This window comes from Homo sapiens, chromosome 10 (genome assembly GCF_000001405.40).
Source record: "Homo sapiens chromosome 10, GRCh38.p14 Primary Assembly".
Taxonomy (NCBI): Eukaryota; Metazoa; Chordata; class Mammalia; order Primates; family Hominidae; genus Homo; species Homo sapiens.
In genome coordinates this window covers 4,986,761-5,012,780 of record NC_000010.11, presented here as the reverse complement: position 1 = coordinate 5,012,780, position 26,020 = coordinate 4,986,761, and the positions used below count along the sequence as shown (strand labels likewise).

Genomic DNA, 26,020 nt, shown 5'->3' with positions numbered 1-26,020 from the left:
TTTGAATTCATTTCTTATTTCTGCAGTAAAAAATTATCACAAATGTTGTGGCCTGAAGCACCATAATTAATTTTCTCACAGTTCTGGAGATCAGAATTCCAAAATCTCGTTCAACAGGCTAAAGTCAGGGTGTCCACAAGGTTGTATTTTTTCTTGAGGGTCTAGGGGAAAATGCTATTCTGGGCCATTCCAGGTTCCAGAGAATGTGTTCCTTGGCTCATGGCACTTATTCTATCTTGAAAGCCAACTGCATGGCATCTTAGGATCTCTTCCCTATGGGTCTTTCCTTACACATCCTCTTTGATTGTGGCCCTCCTGGGTGCCACTTGTAAGGATTTTGAGATGACATTGCCCATCCAGATGATTCAGGAAATGCTTCTATCTTAGGATCCTTAACATAATCACATCTGCAAAGTTTGTTTTGCCAGGTAAGGTAACATAGTCACAGCTTCCAAAGATAAAGGCATGAGTTATTGGCAGGGCAGGGGGAGGGAGCAGTATTGAGCCTACTGTACTAGCTTTGTGGAGAACTTGAAGCAAGTAAGCCTTAATTTTCTAGCCTTGCTAATAGAAAGTACTATATCACTAGCCACTAGGTCCTGAAAAATCTAGATTTCATCTCAGATATAATGAAATAAAAACCTGTTCCTTAGCTCTGATATCATTTATACCCTATCATATGTCCCCTTCTAGATATAGTCCCTTTATTCCCTTAGTTTACCCTTTCTCCCAGGATTTGTGAATATCTTTTTTCGCTGTACATGCAGAGAACTCCAGCATTGCTGTTCTTTACATTCTCAACAACTGAAAGTTTCTACTCATACCTAGATTATACTTCAGGCAACTACTTCCATGTTATAACTTATACAGACAAAGAAGTACTTATAACTGCTCTATGAACCTTTAACTTTAACACACTTCATACTAATGAAGCCTCTTACGCTTCGATTTTCACTACACATCAGTTCATCAAGTTCTTGTTCATTAAGGGTTGCAGTCATTGGGTCTCTCGTGTTTCCTCTTTCCATTCTTTCAATCCCCACACAGGTTTACATATTCAGATTTGCTTACATAATAAAGTAAATTGAAATCCTCAGACTACACTCATTCTCTCTAAATTTCTCCTTTAGGTTTTCTGCTGATTGGGGTCTCTTGTCCTTGTACCTATTGATCTGTGCTTATAGCAAACAAACTGGATCAATGTGCGTGCAGCCAGATCAAATTGCCCTGCTTGTGTTTTTGTAGACCATCTTGCCAAAAGCTAAAATCCTACACCAGAGATTCTTATTCATTAGATCTGTAGTGAAGTCTAGGTATTACTATGTTTTATTTATTTTATTTTTGGATTTGTATAAAATTAAAGTTTACAAGTGCAGTTTGCTACATAGATACATTGCACAGTGGTGAGGTCTGGGCTTTTAGTGTAGCTATCACCAGAATAATGTCCATTGTATTTACCCAATAATTTCCCAGCCTCCCAGCCTTCTGAGTCTCCACCAGTGGGAGACAGAAGATCCAGTGGGCAGATACCAAGTGCCTGTAGGTGTGCCTAGGCATGGAGTTGGGAAACCTCTGCTCTTTGATGAATTTTAAAGAGGTTATTTGGGTTTTCTTGTTATTGTTGTTGTTGGGTTGAGTTCCTTATAAATTTTGGATATCAGTGCCCTATTAGATTCACAATTTGCAATTATTTTTCCCAATTGTGTAGGTCATCTGTTCTCTGTTGATTTTTTTTTTTTTTGCTTTACAGAAGCTTATTGGTCTAATTAAGTCATATGCATCTCTTCCTATTCTCTCATTTGTGTTTTTGAAATCTTAGTCTGAGTTCCTTGCTGAGACCTACTTAGGAATTTTTTGCCCCAATAAGTTTACCTTAGATTTTCTTCTAGCACTTGATAGTCTCAGGTCTTATATTTAATTAAGACTTTGATTTATTTCCAGTTGTTTTAAAAGCTTGCAAAGCTATTTTGAGGTATAAGCAAGGTTGCACGTCTAACTTTTTGAAAATATCAATTTTTCATTACGGTTTTAGGGGTTAGGATTGCCTTATCATCAACATGAATTTTGCTATAAAAGCTTTGCTAAGGTCACTCATGTTTATTCCCTTGCCCTTGGCATGAACTACAGTGGGAAGAGTGCTGCAACCCAGCCCTAGCCAACGCCGCATGAGAGGGAGTGTGCCGAGGGCTTCTGAGAAGGTTTCTCTCACATCTAGAAAGAAGCGCTTAAGATGTGGCAGCCCCTCTTCTTCAAGTGGCTCTTGTCCTGTTGCCCTGGGAGTTCTCAAATTGCTGCAGCAGCCTCCACCCAGCCTGAGGATGACATCAATACACAGAGGAAGAAGAGTCAGGAAAAGATGAGAGAAGTTACAGACTCTCCTGGGCGACCCCGAGAGCTTACCATTCCTCAGACTTCTTCACATGGTGCTAACAGATTTGTATGTGAAATGAGACAGTTTCCTGATTCCCCTTGCAGGACTTGCGACAGGGGTGTGGCTCACCGGTTCAAACTGCTTGAGGGAGGGGGAGCATGGAGATGGGCAGGTGCACAGGCCAGGGCGAGCGCTTTGGGCTCTGGCTCCATGGTAGTGTCTAGTGGTGGGTGCCTGCAACCACAGTGTTGTAAAGCTCTTTCAGCTTTGCCATCTGCAGACGGCTTGAGTCTGCAGCTCCATGGACCCTCTGACTTATCTCAAAGGCAGAGGGCCAGTGTGACAGCTTTCTATATCCCAAGCTCTTGCCAGGCATCCCAGAAGAGTCAGATCACATGTGGGCTCAAAGGATGAGGGCAAGATTTTATTGAGTGGTGGAGGCAGCTCTCAGCAAGATGGATGGGGAGCCGGAATGGGGGAATGAGTAGGAAGGTGATCTTTCCTTGGAGTCAGGCTGCCCAGTGGCCGGACTCTTCTCCAATCCTCCTAGGCCAAATTCCTTTCAGTGTCCAATGTCCCTCCTCTTCTCTCTTTCTGTGTGTCATTGTTCTGCCGTCCATCTGGTTGCCTCCTTGTCTCCTCACCTGCTGGTCTGCCCAGGAACTTAGGCTTTGGGGGTTTATATAAGGGCAGAATGGAGGTGTGGTGGGCCAAAAGGCAAATTTTGGGGGCGTGAAAACAGAAATGCCTGTTCTCATTTAGGGGCACGAGTATCCAGGCTTAAAGGTGGGGGCCTTTGCTGGGAAACCACCCTCTTCTACCCAGTATTTCCCTGTCTCCTGTCCATATCACATGGAGTTTAAACCATTCAGAAATAGTTTTTTCTCACCTGGTTTTATGCTAACCAAAACAACTATAATATTAATACTTTTCTCTTTACAACCTCCCCTGCTTGTTGACCTATCTAGGAGTGGTCGCAAGGTGTGCAAGCTGCTGAGTCACCCTGACTGCATCAACCCCAGGAGCTTGAGGGGTGAACAATAGTATTGAGCAATAGTAAAATAACAAACAGTGCAGACAAGGCAGACGTCTCAAAAAGTGCTCGGTGCAATTGTCACTCATCCAGAGTCAACATTGGTGACACAGTTGTTTCTTCAAACAGAGTTCACTCTGAAAAAACTGAGCAAGGTGGAATTTACTTTAAATTTCATGGGTTGTGAAATTTCAACTAATGTCATAATTAAAACTTCCTACATATTGCTTTAGGCATCTCTGTCTTTTCCCCAAAATTTTCTCCATGGCATCAGCAGTACCTCAGCCTCCTCCACAGCCTCCCAGCTCTTCCTTTTTCCTCCTGCACGGCTTTTGGCATCCCACCATTTTCCACAGCAATGCAGGCTAACTGTGAGCTTCCACAGCCTCTCACAGACATGACTTCACCCACAAACCTCTGTGAGGCTCAAGTGTACCCCTTTTTGTTCACATAGAACCTCTTCACCCCAGAGAATTGAGTCAACCAAACAGGAAATCTCAGGACAAACAGTGCTGGCAAACATCATTTTGTTTAAAGTATCATATCAATATGTATTTGTTGAGAAAATATTCGGAGTTCTTTGCAAACTGTAACACTTGTTCAGAAAAAATAGTGAGAAGAAATTAGGATCATTTATTTACTTGAGGCACATGAGTGTTCTTTATGTATGACTCAAGGACATCCCACTTCTGTCCTCCCTGATCTTCCATCTTCCATCTGCTTTCCTCCCTCTTCCCATCTCCCTTTCCTCATATTCCTCTCCCTCTCCCTCACCTATAGGACTGAGAATTCCTGTGGTCTCCTGAGATCAGTTTCTTTCCACCAGATTGTAAACAAGCTGTGGAAAGTTTTAGTTCTTAGCGACTCCACGACCCACACTAGTCAGGCAGAAGCCCCCATGTACAAGGTACCCCTTGAGCCTTGGCAAGGTGCATGACACACACTTGGTCACTGGAGGAAATGATGAGTAGAGAGTGACAAGCAGAGGAGGGGAGCTTTGGGCCTGAGTCCTCTGGGGCACAAGAGTGGTTGAGGCTTGGCACTTGCCACCTAGATTTCAGACAATGTGTCAGGAATCCTGGATGCCCAGAAAGAAACCTGCTCAGGGTCTGGAGCCCCAACATAAAGCTTTTATTTAGGCAATGTTGAGCACTAATATGTGGTTGGAGCTCTGCAGGGGGTCTCCATGGGTGCACTGTGTAGCAAAGCTGTGGGAGAAAGGCCTTACCCCTCAAAATTCCAGAATTATAAATCTATCAGCCGCTTGCAACTTCAGCCTGGAAAAGCCATGGGCATTAAACTCCAAACTGTGAGAGCAGCCATGTGGGCTGCACCCTGCAAAGCCACAGGTACAGTGCTTCCCAAAGCCCCCAGAAGCCTACCCCTGTCACCAGTGTGCCCAGAATGAAGAATATAGAGTCAAGGAAGTTGATTTTGCAGCTTTAAGATTTAATTTCTGCCCTGTCGGCTTTATGACTTGCATGAAGCCTCTTCCTCTTCTCTTTAAGCTGACATTTCCCTTTTGAAATGAGATTGTTCAACCACTGCCTATAAAACCATTGTAATTTGGAAGGAAATAACTTGTTTTTGATTTTACAGGCTCATAGCCGGTAGAAATTTTTCTTGGATCTCAGATAAATCTTTGCATTTTAGACATTTAAGTTGATTCTAAACCTGATAAGGCTTTAGAGACTCTTGAGGTAAACTGATTGGATTTTGTATGTAAGAAAGACCTGAAATTTATGTCTGCAGCTTTTTCTCCTTTATATCCTCAACTAACAATATTTTGGGGTTTCTATGATTCTTTGCTAAAATCTGGATTCCCGTTTCAATTTCTCTTGTGCATAATCTGTAATTATTTTCTCTGTAGTTACCATTGGAATGACATACTGCATCCTATAGTTATACCATCCACTCTGAAATCAATGTGAATTTAACTTCAGTTCCATACAGAAACTTCTTTTCCACAGGTACGTTTCTGCTTCACATTATTGATGTCACTAATTACAACTTTATATATGGTGTACATGTTAACAGAAAGTTATTCTTATTGTAATGTAAATCTTGAAGAAAATGAAAGTAAAAGCAAATTTCACAAATACATGTTTCCACGTTTTTCATACACCTACCTTTACGAGAGGTCTTTATACCTCTATATGACTTCACGTTGCTGTCTAAACTTCTTTCATTTCAAAGTGAATGACTCTCTTAAGCATTTCTTGTAGAGCAGTTCTAATGGCAATGAACTCCTGCAGCTTCTACATCACATAGTCTTACTAACTTTCTAATTTTTAAGAAATAATTTGGCTGGGTGCAGTGGCTAATGCCTGTAATCCGAGCACACTGGGAGGCCAAGGTGGGCGGATCACAAGGTCAAGAAATAGAGACCATCCTGGCTACCATAGTGAAACCCTGTCTCTACTAAAAATACAAAAATTAGCTGGGCATGGTTGTGCACGCCTGTAGTCCCAGCTACTCAGGAGGCTGAGGCAGGAGAATTGCTTGAACCGGGAGAAAGAGATTGCAGTGAGCTGAGATGTACCACTGCACTCCAGCCTGGTGACAGTGCAAAACTCCGAAAAAAAAAAAAAGAGGCTGAAATAATTTTTTTGCCAAATATGGATTCGGTGAAATTTTTTTTTATTGATCACATTAAATATATCACCTACTATATCCTCCAAAGACTCTCATAAGAAATCTGTGGATCACCTTGTCCAGGATCCCTTGTACCCCATGAGTCATGTTTATCTTCGTACTTTTTATTTTTGTTGTTGTTTTTTTCAGATGGAGTTTAAGCCCAAGCTGGAGTGCGATGGTGCAATCCCAACTCACTGCAACCTCTGCCTCCCAGGTTCAAGCTATTTTCCTGGCTTAGCCTCCGGAGTAGCTGGAATTACAGATGTGCGCCCCCATGACCAGCTAATTTTTTCTATTTTTAGTAGAAATAGGGTTTCACCATGTTAGCCAGGCTGGTCTCGAACTCCTGACCTCAGGTGATCCGCCTGCCTCGGCTCCCAAAATCTCTTGTTATTTAAAGATTATCTCTTTGTCTGGCTTTTAGAGTTGGATGATAACACATATAGGTCTGAGTCTCTTTGACTTTATGCTATATGCAGTTCTTTAAGTTACTTGAATTTGTAGATTTTTGTCTTTAACCAATTTGAAAAATTTTGATGATTTTATTCTCCAAATAATTTCTCTACTACCATGGGTTTGCACTTCCCCTTCTGGGAATCCAATACTATCATACTGGTTGGCTTGAAGGTGTCCCATAAGTCCCTTAGGACCTGTTCACATTTCTTTATTCTTGCTTCATGTCCTTAGACTCAGGAATTTCAAGTGTGCTATCCCTATGTGTATTGATTATATCTTCATCCTGCTCAAATTTGCTATTGAAACACTCTCTGGTGAGTTTTTCATTCAGGTATATTTTTTAGCTCCAATTTGTTTCCTTTTCTTTTTATAATTTCTGTATTAATACTATATTGTGATTTTCTTATTTTTTCAGATTTTCTGTAGTTCTTAATCCATATTTTTCATTAGCAATTTTAGCATATTTAAGACAGCTGTTTAAATGCTTCTCTACTAATTCTAATGCCTGTGATTCTTCAGGAATGATTTCTACTGATTTATTTCTTCCTCATAATGGACTGTGATTTCTTGTTTCTTTGTATGCCTTGTCATTTTATTTTTTTGAGCTGGAGTCTTGCTCTGTCACCAGAATGGAGTGCAGTGGTGCCATCTCGGCTCACTGCAACCTCTGCCTCCTGGGTTCAAGCGATTCCTCTGCTTTAGCCTACCGAGTAGCTGGGACTACAGGTGCTCACCACCACGTCCATCTATTTTTTTTTGGATTTTAGTAGAGACGGGGTTTCACCATGTTGGCCAGGATGGTTTCCATCTCCTAACCTCGTGATCTGCTCACCTTGGCCTCCCAAAGTGCTGGGATTACAGGTGTGAACCACCGTGCCTGGCCTGTATGCCTTGTTATTTTATTTAACTGGGCATTTGAAAAAATAAACATCTTTTTTACTGTATATAGATTTGTTCTATGTCATGACAGTCATTAACTTATATGTGCGGCAGGTTCTCAGTCAAGGCATCAGCCCTACGTAAAACTCAAGTCCTTCTTAGTTTGTTTCTGAACATGTACCTATGTGGACTGTGTTTGCCCTTTTATATTTCCCCAAATAACCAATGGCTTTTGAATTGCTTACTATTATGAAATTTTGCATCCCAGTTTCTCCTCAATAGCTTAGATGGACTATTGCATGTCTCTTCCCCTGGCCTTTTGCCTATAACATCTGTATGTGTATAGTCACCCTGAATCTCTACTGAGCCACTCCAGAAATAAATAAGTTTATTTCAGTCAATTTTAGGTATTTTCTGATGTTTCCATGAGTTATATGGGAATCTTAGAATCCACCATCTTGTTGAAATTACTCTGTGAAAAATTTCAATATCTTTATAATATTACATTTATGTCAATGATAACAATTTACCTATTTTTCAATTTCTGTTTGTTTTATGAGAAAGCAAATAGAAGCAATCAGGGCACTGCAAGTTGTGACTACTCCAAGATGTGAATCATGGATCATGCAAATTACAATCTTGTTTTAACCTGACCTCCAAAGGGAGAATAAAGTAAAAATTATCCCATGTGAGGATTATTCACCAGTTTATATGTCATTAGTTACCAGTTTTTCTTTATGAATAATGTTTAGCAATATTATAAAGTATATCTAATAGTTATCAGGTTTTTGGCTTGTTACTTTTTGGTAGTAACTTATAAAACTGACTGGAAAAGACCAATAAGGCACTGTTTGCATGTTACAAATTATATCCAAAGACCAAAAGCTGTTAATAAGAAATCTTCCAATAAAACCACATCATATTTTCTTTTTTATTTACACCCACATCAGGATTACAACTTTATCAGGACTGCACCTTGATCAGGAAGGGATGTTTCTCTTACAAGGCTAATAAGAAAGGAACAATAAATTTGCTGATGAAAAAAAGTCATGCATTTAAAAATTTTAACTTTAATTTTTAATTGAGGGCAATATTTTAAAGAAATGCTCATTAGTCATTCCTTTAAATTGTGTGTGTGAGAGAGAGAAAAATGAAAATTAGTCATTTCAAATGCTGCAAGATGCAGAAGGAACTCATCATCATGGCACACACAAAAAAGAGCTGTGCCGCTAGAGGTTTCTATATTCTTATGTAAAGTCACAATTTGTTCTACAAATCTCTTTGAGTAATTTATGTCTCATATATAGAGATCTGGAATAGCAAAAATACTTCAGAGGAAATTAATGAGTGTATCATGACCACATAATAATTTACTTATGAATTTTCTTAGGTAAGAAACGGTTGAACTGGATGCAATTTTTATCACAGCTTGTGTAAGACTGCCTCTGTCCCTCCTCTCACATGCCATTGGTTAACCAGCAGACAGTGTGCTCAGGGGCGTTGCCAGCTCATTGCTCTTATAGCCTGTGAGGGAGGAAGAAACATTTGCTAACCAGGCCAGTGACAGAAATGGATTCGAAATACCAGTGTGTGAAGCTGAATGATGGTCACTTCATGCCTGTCCTGGGATTTGGCACCTATGCGCCTGCAGAGGTAACAATAATATTTTTAGTGTTGAGAGTTCAAAGGAGCTAGAGTAAGTGGAAGCTGACCAGGTTGTCAGGCTTGTGTTCCTATGTTACTCTGCATGACTCCCCTTTAAACGTCAGTCTTTGTTCTGCAATGCCGTCTTGTCACAGGGTCATCTACTGCTTATTTGTGGCACTGTTTTGTCTTCTGTTTATGTTTATTTCACAGCTTGTCAGAGTCTATAAAACTCAGCAGAAAGAACACGGCTTGCCTGCTCCCTCTCTTGAAGATTGATTGCAATGGGAGTGGTTTCTCTGTTTCTTTGTATAGTCGAACAGATATTTACTTCTTCCAAGAAGATACAATTCAGAGGAATTTTTATGGCAAAAGTTAGTGGAGACGGGGTGGATGAAATCTGTTGGGAGAGTATCACTGTTCTGATGGGCGGCCTTGAGCACCACACTGTAATACTAGACCTGGCCTAAAGAGAATTTCCCATGTACTATTCTCACCTCTGGGAAAATTACCTGAAATAATAAAATATCCTCATTTTAAGAAAAAAAAAAAAAAACTAGAACCAAACAAGGAAAGTTTAAATTCTTTGTCTTTGTTAATATGGGTCAGATTTGTATCAAAATATTGTAACAGAAAAATTTCTTGTTTCTCTGACAAGAAAATTAATGGAATATATTTTATTTTCTAGATTTAGAAATAGCTAAATGCTATTTCTACACTGGAAGAAAACTTGTATCTCAAGACTGTCTTGGGAATACAATGTGTGTGAATAGGAACTAGTTATATAAAATTTGAGTCTCACATTTCTCATCTATAAGACATAAGGAGTTACAAAGGGACATTTTGAAGACCATTGACAGGAGTGGTTTATTTTGTAATATAAATTGGCATGGAGAGGAAGTAAAGATGAGGATACCACTGAAGCTCCGGCCTTGGTAAGCCTTTGATTGCTTGCACAGCGAAGAGAAGATCAAAGATGGTATGAGGAGAGGGCTGTGAGACCCGGTATCTAGTTCCTTGTAATTTCACAGGAAAAAGCCTCTGAAATACTTTCAAGGTGGGAAGATAGTTTGCTTTGTTTCTGTTTTTGTCATTTAAAAGATATACTGTCAAATCTGTATCCAAATTTGTTACATAAGTCAATAATTGTAAATTTTACTGCAATCATATGTTTCCTGACAGAGTTGCCTTGAATTTATGGAGCTGAACCCCATTTTGCTAATCACTTACTCCCTGCAGCCTATTTCTTACATACACAAATCAATATCCTTAGAGTATACATCTTTACTCCTAGTATTTGGTTCTGTTATGCAGACAGAATGGCCAAAACCTGGGTAGAAAAGATCTAACATAATAGACTGCTATCCATAGATGTGCCTATTTCCAATATAAACCTGCTGGCATCTGAGAAAGTGGAGTTCTCCCTGTTTCCTAACTGATAAGAATGGTGGCTCTACGTAACTGTTTGTGTAAACTGTGGGGTTTCTGTGCACCTGCTTTGCTTTTGGAGACTGGAAGATTTGTGTCTGCTAGGCAGAGTGAGTCAATGTATCCAGTCCCAGACAAAATCTTAGCAATGGAGTATGTAGAGGGCATCTCTTGTAGACAACAGTTCACATACATTGACAAAATATGATGCTGGATAAAGTCAGTGCGCTCTGTGCAACATGGTGGGAGAGGAATCACAGGAGCTTACACTGCATTCCTTCATAATTCCTTCCATGTGGCTATTTCCTTGTGTTAATTTCACCATACTAAAAATAATTAAGATTATGTCTGTAACTATAGTTGCGTCCTGTTGATTTTTCCAAAAAATCACTGAAAGTGAAATTGTTTTGGGGACACTTCCAAGCTAGTGGTCAAGCAGTGATTTTTCTGGGACTGCAGAAGTTCCTGCTATGCCCAACCTTTATTACTAAATGGGAAAGACCCAGTCAGACTGGGATGGGCTTATGATTCTACATACAGAGCTCATCCAAGAAAGGAGGAAAAGCTGATTTTTGTGAACGTTGCTGCTTGTGCCCGAACTAACTCTCAGGCACATTAGTCAGAAAATATTACGTTTGGTTGCTCCCCCAGGTTCCTAAAAGTAAAGCTCTAGAGGCCGTCAAATTGGCAATAGAAGCCGGGTTCCACCATATTGATTCTGCACATGTTTACAATAATGAGGAGCAGGTTGGACTGGCCATCCGAAGCAAGATTGCAGATGGCAGTGTGAAGAGAGAAGACATATTCTACACTTCAAAGGTACTGTGCCTATGATGAGCTTGTGTGCACATGTATTTATTGTGATTGTGTGGAGGTGGCAGTTCTATGACTGGATCCATAGTTGAGGGTGAATTGTGCTTATTTATTTCGATTTATTCACACTTACTCATGTATTAAAACTAATATCAAAGGCAGGAAGTGAAGATGGCTTTCTCATCTTTGCAGTGTTCCAATTCATGCCTTCAAAGTGCCTTTACTCTTCGAGCTCAGCACAGATCAATATGGTTTAACATAGACTATAGAATGAGAGATAATCTTAATCATATTATGTTATCTGTTACCTCCTGGGTGAGTTTCTTACATTTGTTATGATTCTGAGTTTCCATTGTCATTTTGATCAGAGAGAGAGAGAAAGCGATATAAGAGAGCTCAGTGAGTATAAAAGAGTGATACCTACATTGTTTTAAATTGCATCCAGCCCAAGTTAACATATTAAAAACTGTGTTTGCCTCCTCAGTTTCCAAACCACAAAGATACTTAGTCTTGCCCATTGGGCTGAATAGATGAAATAATTACACCACTAATATGAGTTGTAAAACTTACCAAAGATAATTCAGATAATGGGTATGCTTATGATTTGATAACAACTTTTACCTTTTGAGTAATTTCACTCTTTCATTCAATATATGTACTAACTATATATCCAACATATTATAAAGTTCATCATGATATGGCAGAACAAAAGGCATCACAAGAAGAGAGAGAATAATTTTGCCTGTGGTCATTAGTTTTGAAGTAGTAGAAAATGTCTAAATATTAGGTGGAGCAAACTAGTAAAACTGGCTCAAGTTTTCATTACACAACTTCGTTTCTCTAACCTCTGCAGCTTTGGAGCAATTCCCATCGACCAGAGTTGGTCCGACCAGCCTTGGAAAGGTCACTGAAAAATCTTCAATTGGACTATGTTGACCTCTATCTTATTCATTTTCCAGTGTCTGTAAAGGTAGGCAGCTTGTGTGATCAAATTAATTTCACTTTTGTTCTCAGCATAAATATTGTTTTCATGGAGATTTGAACTAAGCTTTTTCTTAGGAGGACATAGGGATTTTAACATGGAAGAAGAGCCCTAAACATAACTCCTAATTCCTTTCTATGGAACAGAAAGCAATTTTGAATCCATACTTCCGTGATTGCATGTCTACAAGAAAAGAGAGTGCAGAATCCTCAAAGCCTCTGCCTCAAAAACTTGAGGAAATGACAATCATCTCCTTGAAGGCACAAGGTCTTATTTATGATTCCTGATTTCACCTCTTGGGATGTTCACAGACACAGAGTTTCATGAAGCTGTGGTGTCCAGAAAACCTGCTGCACATAGGGTGCACAATGAGTTTCCATCTTCTTGCCTCTTTTCAAGGGGCAAGAACTCAGTCCGGGAATGTCTTAAACTACAAACCTTCATGGGAAACCTTGTTGCTTCTGCTTCCTCTCTTTTCACACTGGAGGTTTTATTTTTGCTTAGCCATGAATTCTTGTGTCATTCATAACTTTTGTCTTAAGGTACTGAAAACTAGTCAGGCTAGTTAATGCAAAAGGGTATATTAGATATGATAATGGGAAATCAAAGCCAGGGCTACATTAAGAATTTGATAAAAACTCTAAAAATATATCCTTTCTCCACCCTTATCTCTGCTTTATTACAAAAGGCTTTTTAAATATTTGTTCCAACCTTTTTCGTTGGTGGCATTTATGGCTTTGGAGCACTGTCAGGCCCATGTTCATTACCGTGAGCTCCTGTGCATCTCCTAATTTCCAAACTAGCCTGGAAAACGCCTCCATTGACCATGATTGGTTCATGGTCCTGTGCATGGAACATCATATGTTCAGGGAGATAAAGAACTCTGATAGTGGCACCTGGGTAAAAAGTACAATCCATTATATCTGGATATCAAGATCTTTTGCAGTTGAAGAGAGGTATTGCCACAGAGAAAATTATAGGAGCAGAAGAAAGTCAATGAAAGTCAATGATGACACTCCATTAGGAACCAGAAAGATGGTATTTATTTATACATATAATAGGTGTAAGAGATTAGAGGAAGCCTGTCACCTGAAGACATTCCTTATACCTTCATATGTAGTACACTTTGTACATACCACTCTCTGGAGCGCTGCATCACCTACCTCATGGAGGATTAGTGTCCTTAAATGTACCTCAGAGCATGGCTATGTGTGGAGAAATTGACTTGTGACATCACTAAACTGACTGCTTCTACTTCAGCCAGGTGAGGAAGTGATCCCAAAAGATGAAAATGGAAAAATACTATTTGACACAGTGGATCTCTGTGCCACATGGGAGGTGAGTGTTTGGAGGTGAGAGAACGGATAAGAAAGATGAGGTAGGATACATCTGTTTCCTATCTTCTTAGTACAAGTATGGAAAATGCACCATTGGATCAAAAACTTAGGAACTTTACAAAGGTAGTTTTTGTGAGCAGCGAGGAAAAAGAAATGACAGGCATACAAAAGAGAGAAGTGGAGGAGAAGAATTGGGGGTAAGGAGGACTGGGATTTCTTTCCTTGCCTGTACATTAATCTCTCCACTTTCCTAAGGAGGAAACAGAAATTCTCACTCTTGCAATCACTATCTTCTTCCCCAATTTTTCTGTTTTATTTTCTCCCTTTTAAGAACCACGGCTAGCTAGTTTGATTGTCACGTCTAGACAGTTGTTGCTTTCACAGTTCTATGTTACATTTATCTTGCTCTTCAGTCGACTACACAAATGATACCTCACAATTCCTTTTTCCCAGGCCATGGAGAAGTGTAAAGATGCAGGATTGGCCAAGTCCATCGGGGTGTCCAACTTCAACCACAGGCTGCTGGAGATGATCCTCAACAAGCCAGGGCTCAAGTACAAGCCTGTCTGCAACCAGGTGAGCGCCCTCAGCCTCCTCTCCTTTCTGTTCTTCATGCCCCTCTTTCTGTCCTATTGCCAAGTATCCATTCATTTAGTCCCACTTATCTTTGTAAAAGAGAAGATTCTAGAGAACAAAGCCTCTTCCTAGAAGGGCATGGAGTCCTCTTACTTGTACCCTGCTTAGAAAAGTCTTACGAAAAGGTGTTGTAACTTTGATGCTGAATTGTGTGTTACATTTATAGGAGGTCAATTCGATCAAGAAGTCCAAGGATTGCCAATTAGACTCAGGGAAAGGTGGACTTACCCCTAAGCTACGAAAGATGACCAGAGAGTGGACGGGTGAAGGTGATTTGGAGGGAACTGTGCATAGATATGAAGCCATGAAGAGATGGAATGAACAGTACATAAGGAGAGAGTGAGAGCAAGAGAAGAGAAATACTAGGGATTCACATGGGCTTCGGATGTCTCAGTGTCTCTTGATATCTCTGCTTTCACACTTCTTGACCAAGGGCATAGATACACTAAAAATTATCTGCAGACAGTGAAGGTCATCCATGGTAGAAAGAGAAAATGACCTGTTTATGGAGATATCTGTTCACAGTGGATGAAATCCACACTGAGGAAGGTTCAGCAGAACATGGAGCTGACCTATGACTGCCCCGCTCCTAGTCGGCTGCTTTTTGGAGTCTGTCATGCAATCAGCTGCTTAAACACATCTATTCTATGCATGGTTCTTTCATAGCCTAGAGATAATTCCATCTTTTCCTTGAGTCCTGACTGGTGATTCCAGGCCTCCTTGATCAAATTGACTGCCCCCAAATGTTACACACATTTCAGCATTAAAATCACTACACCTTTCCCAGTAACTTACATTTTTTGTTATAATTTTGTTATAATTTGGTATAATGATATGGTGCTGTGATAATTTAATAAAAGCATTGAGAAATTAATGTGGTTTTAATACTAGTAGTTCCCCAATTTTTTAATATGGCCATTTTCACACTTTCCAAAAATTTGATAAAAATAATACTGGAGACCCATGTTACCATTTATATTCAAAATTACTAACATTTTGCAATGTTATATGGAGTATATCTGCATAAATACATATAATGTTTCTAGAACCTCTTCAAGGTAAATTGTAAAGATGACAATTGACCCCTAGAGACCTCTCAAAGCATGTCACAGGAATGAAGATATTCTCCCAGTTCCAGTGTCATTACTGTATCTAAGAACATCATTTATAGTGCCCTTATGTCATTTGGTATCCGGTCCATATTTTAATTTTTCATTGCTTAATCAAAATATCTTTTGTAGCTCTTCTTTTTTTAACCAGAATTCAATTGTTTTTATATTGTTGTATTTGATATCAGTTAACTTGTTTTTCCCAGTTGAAGGTTCCTGTAAATTAAAAGTTAGATGTGAGTATTTTATTACATTGGCTTAAAACTTTGGGGCAAGAAAATGTTTTTATCATGCTGTGTTTTTCAAATTGCACGACACTAGACTGCATACAATCACAGAATGCCCCACTAGTGGTGAAGGTAGTTTTAAAAACTTGGTTAAGCTAACAGTGGTCAGATCTGTTGTTTTTAACTCATGTTTTCTCTTTAACAATTACTAGTAATCTGCTGGGGGATAATTCTCAACAGAAGAAGTCATATTCCCATGACAAATTTTCACATATGATTGAGTATACATCAGTGATTTGAACTTTTTTCTACTGCATTTCTGTTTTCTTCTTTGTTATTTCTTATTTGTTATTTCCTTGGGGTTTTTACATAATCATTTACAATTTTAACCACTTGTTTAACTATTCTTACCTGACATTTAATTAAAAATAATTTCTCACCAAGTAAAAATAATAAACTACTATTCCTCTAAGTGAGAGTAAAGGTAAACTTCTTCCTTCAATTAGCAATGTACTGTGAACGTAATTACTGTAATGACCACCATCAGAGTAGACAAAGATTGTTGTTCTTTTTCTCATTGTCGCACTAATTGCTACAGACTCACGGATTCTTGTGTTATGATTTTTAATTTATTTTACTCATTTTTTAATGCTCACATCTACTCAGCATATATATATATATTATATATATATAATATATATGAAAGAAGAATGTGATCAAAGACTCATGAGGGCAAGTGTAAAAGACAAAAGCACTTGTTTCATAGGGAACCCACTGGTGACATTTGAGATATCAACATACAAATCCATCATACAAAAAGGAAAAGTAATGAAAGACTGTGAAAATTATCAGTATTTATGTGTATATGTATATTTTCTAGTTCATCTATATAGATATATATCATAGATGGCATATATGATATATATATGTCAGATCAATTAGAAAACATACATATATATGTATGCATTTTTGGTATTAATTAGGAAACTAGTTCTTTTGTTTTTCAGACCTGCCCTCATGAGTCTTTGACCAAATTCTTGATTTCTGGCACGATTTGATGCCCAAGGCTCAAAGAATCTTACCTCATCCCAGCTCTGAAATTGGCCGTGTCTCCTTCTAGTGGTCGGAGTTATTGAGAAACCAGGATAGGGTTCATGGAGTTGCTTGTGCTCAGAAATAGCATTTCTATTTTCTTAGGAGAGAGGGGCATAAAATTTATTTTTATGAAAAAGATCATTTTTGACAATAATATTCTCAGTTCAAATTTAATGCTCTACATTATTCAGCTTCTTTTACTTTGGTGATTTTAATATTAATGTAACTTTTGGATTATCTGATGCTTTTCCATCTTGCTCGTCTGCAGGTGGAATGTCATCCTTACTTCAACCAGAGAAAACTGCTGGATTTCTGCAAGTCAAAAGACATTGTTCTGGTTGCCTATAGTGCTCTGGGATCCCATCGAGAAGAACCATGGTAATAAGAGATACAGGAAGTTTACCTAAAACACTGGTTTGATAAAAAAAATTTAATCAGATCATGCTGTTTCCTGGAGTTCACTCACAGCTGACTTGGGGTGAGGGAAGAATTTGCATTTCTGACGAGATCCCAGGTGATGTTGAGGCTGCTGTTCGGGGGCCTCGCTTGAGAAGCTCCGGTGCAGAGTGGACGCCTTAGTCTGTTTAGGGAGCCGCCTAACAAACTATCGCCAGCCTCAGGGCCTCAGCCTTTCTGCCTTTCCTTCCAGGGTGGACCCGAACTCCCCGGTGCTCTTGGAGGACCCAGTCCTTTGTGCCTTGGCAAAAAAGCACAAGCGAACCCCAGCCCTGATTGCCCTGCGCTACCAGCTGCAGCGTGGGGTTGTGGTCCTGGCCAAGAGCTACAATGAGCAGCGCATCAGACAGAACGTGCAGGTGAGGAGCGGGGCTGTGGGCCTCAGGTCTCCTGCACAGTGTCCTTCACACGTGTGCTTCTTGTAAGGCTCTCAGGACAGCCTTGGGCCAGCTCCATTTCCCTGTATTTCCTATGCATGAACTCTTTGTGTACGTCATAAGGGTTTCTTCTACTCTAGCACAGGAGAGGCAACAGAGGTGGAGAGTAATAGGATGGGATCAAAACTACAGATTTGGGTTAGCGTTAAGTCAGTGATATCCATATCCCTCTACTGGGGCCATGTCCTTTTCTTTATTTTTTATAATGAAGCATTGATTAGATGTTCTTTAGTCTCCAACTCATGGCGGATTTTTCTTCTTGTATGTTTATGTAGTATAAATTCCTTATATTTATTCTCTTAGAATTTTATCTTTGCGAAGTGCTTGTTTAACTCTGCCTTTTTTTTTGGCGAGGTGGTTGTGTGTCTTTATTTTTATGTGTAGGAGACCATATTTATACCAATACCTTAGGATATAAGACAAACCCACTTAATATAGAGGCTTAATGCAAAAGCATTTATTGAGCTCAAGGTTCCATGGTTAGAAAATTAGCCTGGGCTCAGCCTAAACTCAGTCCATTCCTTCTGTTCCTGGCTGGGCTCTCATGTGTGTTCAGGGCAGTGAGGCAGCTCTGCTTCAGGATGTCCCTGGGGCATCTGTGTGAGTGCCCCCCTCTCCCATGCAGTTCTTTATCCTCCAGCCATCCAGCCCAGGGTTCACCTCAGCACAGGGCATGACCCCAGCATAGTGAATGGACATGTGCAAAGCCTTTTTAGGTCTAGGCTCAGAGACACCAACCATTGCTTCTGGGAAATTCTATCACCTAATGCAAGTTACAGGACAGGTCAGACTCAAGGGGTGGGGAAACACACACCACCTCTTACTGGAAGGAACTGGAAATTCATATAGCCAAGCAAGTGGACACAGGGACATGTGATTGTTAGAGGGCATGTTCCTAATTAATCTATCATTTATATGATATGTGTGAAATAATATATCAATAGTTATATGTATGAATATGAATATATATAGATATATTATTTCATATATTCTCAAGAATTCATACAAGTCTCTAAAGAATTAACATCCAGAATACATACATATGTGTATGTTTTCTAATTAGTTAGATACATAAAATATACATCACGTATGATATATATTATAAAACCTATGTCATATATATGACATATATCATGTATATGTATATACGTCACTATTTACTAAAACATTAAGTAAAATAAGTGAAGAAATCCATAGGATACTCTGAAATAGTGATACAGAGAACGAGAGAATAAAAAATGACAATAATGAAACAATTGATGAATCTAGGTAATGGCATTCATTAAATTATTTTAAAAATATTTTTGGACATTAGAGAATTCACAAAACAAAAATGAAAAGTTATGAAAGACTGTGGAAATTATCAGTATTTATACATATGTGTATGTTCTCTAATTCATCTAGTATATATAGATATATATGATATATGACATATGTGTTATATAATATATATGTTAGATTAACTAGAAACCATACATATATATGTATTTATTCTGGATATGAATTCTTTAGAGACTTGAATGTATTCTTGAAATAACATCTCCCAAATTTTATCTGCGTTGTCATATTCTCTGTGGTTATGTTTTCACAAACAAAAGTTTCTATCCTTCATGTAGACTAATTTTTCATGCCTCTTTCTTGTGGTTGGTGTGTGTTGTGTCTTATCCTATATTGGGAATATCACAATATTTTACTGTGTTATCTTACAAAATTGTTAATATTCTTTCCTTATAAATTTGGTTAATTCTAATGGGTATGACTTTTAAAATATTATGTGAAATAAGGATCCAAATATGCGTATCTAATTTTTGAATTTTTAGCAAAATTTACCATTTATTGAAAAGTTTATATTTGCTCACATAACTTGAATTTTTTTACCTGACACATATATGAAATGTCCATGAGCAATTATCTGGCCTCTCTTCCATCTTCAGTTAACTTATTCACTTTTCTGTGCTATAATGTTAAAAAGTAAGTTTCACTTCCAGTATGGTACAAATATTTTTCTAACTTCTTCATTTATTTAATAATATCTTAGCTATTCTTGACTAATGTGTTATTTAAAATTTTGAATCATCTTATTAACTTCCACAGGCAAGTAAATGTTTTAGTCTCTCATTGACATTGTAATAAGCCTGCAGATCAATGCAGAGAGAACTGAATCTTTGACAATATTGAGATTTCCAGTCCATGATCATAATATGAATATCCCACTACTTATTAATAAATCATCTCTTAATAAATATATCATTAATTGCATAAATTTCTCCATTACTGATCATTTTTTTTTTGAGACAGAGTCTCGTTCTGTCACCCAGGGTGGAGTGCAGTGGCACGAACTCGGCTCACTGCAACCTCCACCTCCCGGGTTCAAGCAGTTCTCCTGCCTCAGCCTCCAGAGTAGCTGGGACTGCTGGCGCATGCTGCCATGCCCAGCTAATTTTTTGTATTTTAGTAGAGACGGGTTTCACTGTGTTGCCCAGGCTGTTCTCTAACTCCTGAAATCAGGCAATCCTCCTGCGCTGGCCTCCCAAAGTGCTAGGATTATAGGCGTGAGCCAACGTGCCCGGCAATTACTGATAATTTTAATAGTTTTTGATAACTTTTCATTTTCATTTTGTGGATTTTCTAATATATAGAAATATTAAAAGAATAATGCAACAAATCTTCTTACCTACATTCATCAAGTGTTACATTGCTGTCATTTTTTACTCTCTTTCTCTCATTTTCTGTATTACTCCTTCAGTTTCCCTATGGATTTATACACTTATTTGATTGAATGTATTAGAAAGAGTGACATCTTTTTGATATTTAGAGTCTCCCAAATTTACATAGTGAGTACCCACACCTTTTGAATGTGAAATCGTTAGTATTTAGACAATTATTGGCTTGAGTGATGTTGAAAACTGATTTTTCCTATTATACCTGTTCATTGGAGAGATAGATATTCAATGTTATTCATCAAACCTACTAAATTATGCTAGACATTACAAAATTTGCCTCTAGATTCTTGTGGGTCTTCTAGGTACATGGCCCTATCATGTGGGCACAAAGTAAGCTCTGTTTCTTCTTCAGCTTCCTCTGAGATATTCTCTTCATCTGCAGTGTTGTGCAGTTTCAAAATATTTTATCTGGGAATGGATTTCTGCTTATTTTTGACTGGTTTTCATTGACCACTTGGGTGTTTAGAGAGGTCTTTCATAAATTTTGGAAACGTATCAATCTTTTAAGTATTGTCTCTGCACCCTACTGTCTGATGAACTTGGTTGTTCCCAATTGGCAATGATGTAATCTAAAAATAATTAAAGTTTTCTATTACTTTGATAGGTGTTTGAATTCCAGTTGACTTCAGAGGAGATGAAAGCCATAGATGGCCTAAACAGAAATGTGCGATATTTGACCCTTGATATGTAAGTAATTTTGGAGATGGTTGTCCTAATTTATTTTCAGAGGAGGAACGTAGGATGGGTGTTGAGAGTGACCTCCACACCAGGGGCACAGAGGCCAACGTGAGACAGAGGTGAGACAGGAGCTTTCTGGAAGTCTCCTCCTGGATTCACTCCAGAGCTCTGTTCTCTGGCAGGGAGAGTGGCCTGGGGTCAGCATGGGTCAACCTGTGCCTCTGCTCTCGTGACTCCAAGGAACTTTCCAGAGCAGCCAAGATCATTGCTGAATCTGCACCTTCCATGTAGGCCTGCCGTTTGTATTACTGTCTAGTGTACACACTGTGGATATGGCCCATGTGGTCGCATTAGATGTTTCCAAATCTGTGCTTCTATCTTGTTCTTCCCAACCTGCTCAATGTCTTACCAGATCAAAGGCAGTTCCGTCAATCTTGTGGGCCAGGTTCCAATTCCCACCTCTTTCACATGGAATTGCTTGCTGGATCCTGTCAATTTAGCATTTTTAATCATTTCAAACCTTTTTCGTGCCTTTCTTTGCATGTTTGCCCATGAGCCAAATACTGCATTTGCCTCCAGAAAGTCTGTCTTAGTGGAGCGAATAGGAGCACTTGGCCTTGGTGTTCTGCAATATGGAGATCTCAGTGTAGAGAATGAGGAAGTGTTAAAATCAAATGCAGAGTGTAGATGCAAAAGCACCATTATTGGAGATAATTTATAACCAGTAACAGACGTTTACTATTCCTCTATATTCTAAGGTTCTAGGATTCATAGAAGGTCATTCAAATAATGAGGGAAAAAGAAGTTATGTAACTGATGGCAGTGGAGATTTTAACAAGTAATAGAGATGATGAGATAATGTGTGAAAAAAACAAGCACAATGGTACATCATAAGTACCCAAAATTTGGTGGATATTATTAGTAGTATTTTATCCACTTAGCAGAAAATACAAAATGAAAATGGAAATGATAATAAGAAAAGGAAAAGTGGCAAGCATTAGAAATGTTTACAACTGATTAATGTTTTTTATGATCATGAAATCAATCACTAGTGTTATTTTGTAGAACTCAAATATGGTCTGGAGTAAACCACTTGCGAGCTTCCAAGTGTTTGCTCTCGGTGTAATCACAAAGGATAGGCTCAATTCCGTAATTAACAAGTTATAACTGTATATGTGAGCAGTCATTTATCTGTGTCTTTACATTTTGGATTATGTCTACCTATAAAATGGTTTATGCATTGTAGCTCTTTGAATATTGGGCCCTATAACATAAACAATAATTTACGTTTCTAATCTAACCAAGTGTGTTGCGTATGATAGGCAGGTAGTAAGTAATATGTAAAGTAATAAAATAAAGTACAATTACTACCAGTATAATTATCACACTCAAAATTGTTTATTAGTGATGAGCATATATCTTCCTTATTCCTCTTCAATGTAAGGCAGAAGGAGTTCCTGTTTTTAGTGAGAATTTGAAATAGAAAAGGTCAGAATATCTCTTTGTTGACAGATGTGGGATCTGTTGTTGAGAGATGTAGAGAAACATGTTTGAACATTTCACTTTGTGTGTTTTATGTGTTAAGTTCCAGGCAGGGGAATAGAATTAAATTATTCTTTATTTTGAAAATACAGATATGATAAAGTCACGTTCATTAAACAAAGAAACACAGATTCTAGAGCAGTCAGAAAATGAACTTCTTAACATCTACACTAGCGGCAGCTTCCTAGAAATCACTGCGCTACGGGCTAGTAACGGAGTCATTGCCATTCAGAGTGTGCATTTTTTTTTCTCTTTCCAGTTTTGCTGGCCCCCCTAATTATCCATTTTCTGATGAATATTAACATGGAGGGCATTGCATGAGGTCTGCCAGAAGGCCCTGCGTGTGGATGGTGACACAGAGGATGGCTCTATGCTGGTGACTGGACACATCGCCTCTGGTTAAATCTCTCCTGCTTGGCGACTTCAGTAAGCTACAGCTAAGCCCATCGGCCGGAAAAGAAAGACAATAATTTTGTTTTTCATTTTGAAAAAATTAAATGCTCTCTCCTAAAGATTCTTCACCTACTTTGGTCTCCATAACTTCTATGTTTTCTCTCCTTCTGACACACTAGTGCCCCCAAATTGTGATTTGCCTATACGTTTAGGGCCGGGGTTGGAAGATGTTAACAACCATTTAAGATTCATTTCTGCAGTGGGAGTGGGTGGAGTTTCACCCTCTGGGAAAGGGGCAGGTGACAGGTATTTATCAGTCAGTGCCTCTCTAGCTCTTGTAGGAAGAAGCACACGCAGGATGGAGTCTAGAGGATGAGCGATATTGACTAGCAATTCATGGGCTCCCTCCAGCAGTGCGAGGGTCAGAGTTTCTGGAGCCTTGGGAGGAGGCATCCCTGTGAGGGGGGGTTAGGGAGATGGGAGGGCACCAGGAAAAGTGATTAGAAGTCAGGTATGGGAAGGCTAAATAGGACAGAGTCGAGTACATCTCTGCTTGGAAAAACATATCAACACCCTTTTTTTTGATCATTATATCTTGTTCATAAAAGAAAACTTTCCACATTGTTTTAACAAACCCCACAGCTGAGAGTCAGGCCTGAATCTTTGATGTGTGCCCATTCACAACGTTGACCCTATTGGTTTGTGGTGGGGCAGGACATCGAAGATATCATTGACTCATCACATTCCCCTGAATAGCTCATATTTAGAAAATATTCTTAGATTGTAAAAATGTACTGTTCATTTGTTATATGCAATCTTTTAAATGTTTTATACTTTAAACAAGGCATAGTTACAAGTATAAAACATAAATATCCCAAAGCCATTATGCATGGCACTCAAGATTAAAATGGGAAATAATACATCTAATAAATCAAATGTTCCAAGACTTCAAATGTCTTTTGGAAACAGGCTATGTAAAACAGCACACTGGTTTCAAACTTTGGTAAATTTTAAGAAGAACTCTTACAAAGGCATTTAATTCTTATACATAATTTTCAGGGGAACTAATCAAATCAGCTAATCATGAAGACATGATTTTCGTTTTAGAAAACACTTTTGAAAACTTGGGATAATCTCATGTCTTAATGATCAAAGCATTATGAGAAGGACAGTGGTTTTTTACCTGGGCACACTTTCTAACACATTTACTCTCCACTATTCGTACTCTGGTAGCCATGTTAACCCCATCAGAGATTCCTTCTCAAGCCATGTCTCAGAGCTGATAGGCATCCCAGCAAGTTTTGCAGCTCACAATTTTTCTGTAAATTACTTATTCTATAAAATTGGAAGAGGCCATAAACTTTGGAGGGCCCTAGACCAATTTTTTGGATTATTTCTGGTCTACTCTCATTCCGTTGATGATCTTAGATATTCTCTGCATTAAATATCACCTCTAGGCTGAGAAATCCACCAAAAAATATTTCTAGCTCAGCGTTTTCCTCCAAATCTTCAATGGAAGATCATAATGTGAACTCTGCATCTCCATGTTAAAGTTTAATGGACATTCACACTTAGCATGTCTCAAAGAAATCTCATGTAAACCATGGCCATCCTGTTCTACCTTAACTTTCTGAGTCTATGGAATGATAATTTCACATCTCATAAACTTGACTGATGTAAGTGTCAAGAAAAGATTGACATTTTGTTAAAACTTCGTAGCCAAGTGTGTAACGCTTAAGCAGACTTTCATATTTCAAATCTCTATAGCACGTGTAACTCTTTTTTCAAGATGTGAAATAATCATTAGGTCAGTCATTTGTAAATAGTACGGCTGCTGTGGGCTTTTTCCAGTTCTTCACCATCCATTTTTATAAAACTCTTATTGTTAAAAAAAAAAAGTTACTCAGAATTTCATAAAGCCAAACACCTGATTTCAGGAACACTTGAGATGTAAGAAAATTTTATAGGGACCTCCAATCACTAATTTTCCTATTTTTTCTCTCAAAGAAATGCTGAAGGGAGGAATTCAGGTTGAATGAAAGGAAATAGTAACTTACAGCCATATAGAGTTATAAAGACTTCTTGTAAATGTGAACATATGGTAAAATATAAAAACATGTATTTTTGAAATTTTGGATTCTACTCATTATTTTACTTCAATTTAAGATATAAATGTATAGAAATAAGTATAATTCTAAGCTAATACGTATGCAATGTAGGAAGCTGTAATTACTGACCAAAACTATGTGAAGTGGAGAAAACCTGGGGAAGTGGATGGTTTTAGATGAAACTGAAGTTAAATTCATATTGATTTAAAGTAAATTGTCATAACTTTATAAAGTTTTTCATCATCACCACAGCAATCACAAAGAGAATAATTATGAATATACGCAAGAGGAAATGAGAAGGGAATCCAAATGTCATTAAAAAAAAATCACGCCACCTCACAAAATGGTAACAGTGGATATAAAGGATAGAAAGCTATAAACCTGGTAGGAAAACATTGAAAATGGCACAAGTGACTCCTTCCCTGTCACCAATGACAGTCATGTGTTGCATAATGCCTGGGCTATCTTCTGAGAATGGCTTTGTTAGGCAACTGTGTCATGGTGGGGACATGATAGCATTAGAGAGAATTCTCTCAAACACTGTCATGGCCTTATCAACTATGCTTCTGTAATATTCTGAATCCTTCGCTGCCTTTCCAACAGTGTTTACAACGGTTTCCTAAGAAATGAAATCCATTTCACCAAACCACTTTTCTTGCTCATCCATAAGAAACACTTCTCCTTTGTTAAAATTACATCATGAGACTGCAAGCATTCAGTAACTTGCAAGCTCCAATTTGAATTCTAGTTGTCTTGCTATTTCCACCACATCTGCAATTACTTTCTCCACTGAAATCTTGCATTCCTCCAAGTCATCCAGGAGGGTTGAATTCACTTCTTTCAAACTCCTGTTCAAGTAAATGTTTTGCCCTCCTGTCACGAATCATGAATGGTTTTAATGGCATCTAGAATAGTAAATCTTTTTCAGAAGATTTTCAATTTTCTTTTCACAGATTCTTCAGACCAATCACTATGGTAGCCATATATTTATGAAATGTATTTCCTGAACCATAAAACAAGAACATCAAAATTACTC

General features: G+C 38.4%; 1 protein-coding gene and 1 long non-coding RNA gene across 8 annotated transcripts in view; one reads left to right on the top strand and one right to left on the bottom strand.

Moving 5' to 3' along the window:
• Positions 1-25,006, top strand: part of AKR1C2 (aldo-keto reductase family 1 member C2) — a 30,226-nt gene extending 5,220 nt beyond the window's left edge. The window contains exons 2-13 of one of the 7 annotated variants that reach the window (XM_047424683.1): positions 2,128-2,437; positions 5,275-5,374; positions 6,729-6,811; positions 8,767-9,029; positions 11,100-11,267; positions 12,115-12,231; positions 13,504-13,581; positions 14,034-14,156; positions 16,916-17,025; positions 17,297-17,462; positions 20,868-20,950; positions 22,743-25,006. In XM_047424683.1, the coding sequence (XP_047280639.1) occupies positions 8,946-9,029; positions 11,100-11,267; positions 12,115-12,231; positions 13,504-13,581; positions 14,034-14,156; positions 16,916-17,025; positions 17,297-17,462; positions 20,868-20,950; positions 22,743-22,785 (972 nt within the window). In that variant the 5' untranslated portion in view covers positions 2,128-2,437; positions 5,275-5,374; positions 6,729-6,811; positions 8,767-8,945 and the 3' untranslated portion in view covers positions 22,786-25,006. Of the gene's footprint in view, positions 1-2,127; positions 2,438-5,274; positions 5,375-6,728; positions 6,812-8,766; positions 9,030-11,099; positions 11,268-12,114; positions 12,232-12,320; positions 12,871-13,503; positions 13,582-14,033; positions 14,157-16,915; positions 17,026-17,296; positions 17,463-20,867; positions 20,951-22,742 lie in introns of those variants that run through there. The other 6 variants (XM_047424682.1, NM_001354.6, NM_205845.3 and 3 more) reach the window with 6 other exon arrangements.
• On the bottom strand, positions 15,004-17,203 carry LOC101928051 (uncharacterized). The gene is made up of 3 exons (NR_188167.1): positions 17,114-17,203; positions 16,635-16,744; positions 15,004-15,541 (listed from the first exon to the last, which is right to left on the bottom strand). It is a non-coding gene; the product is annotated as an uncharacterized LOC101928051 (long non-coding RNA).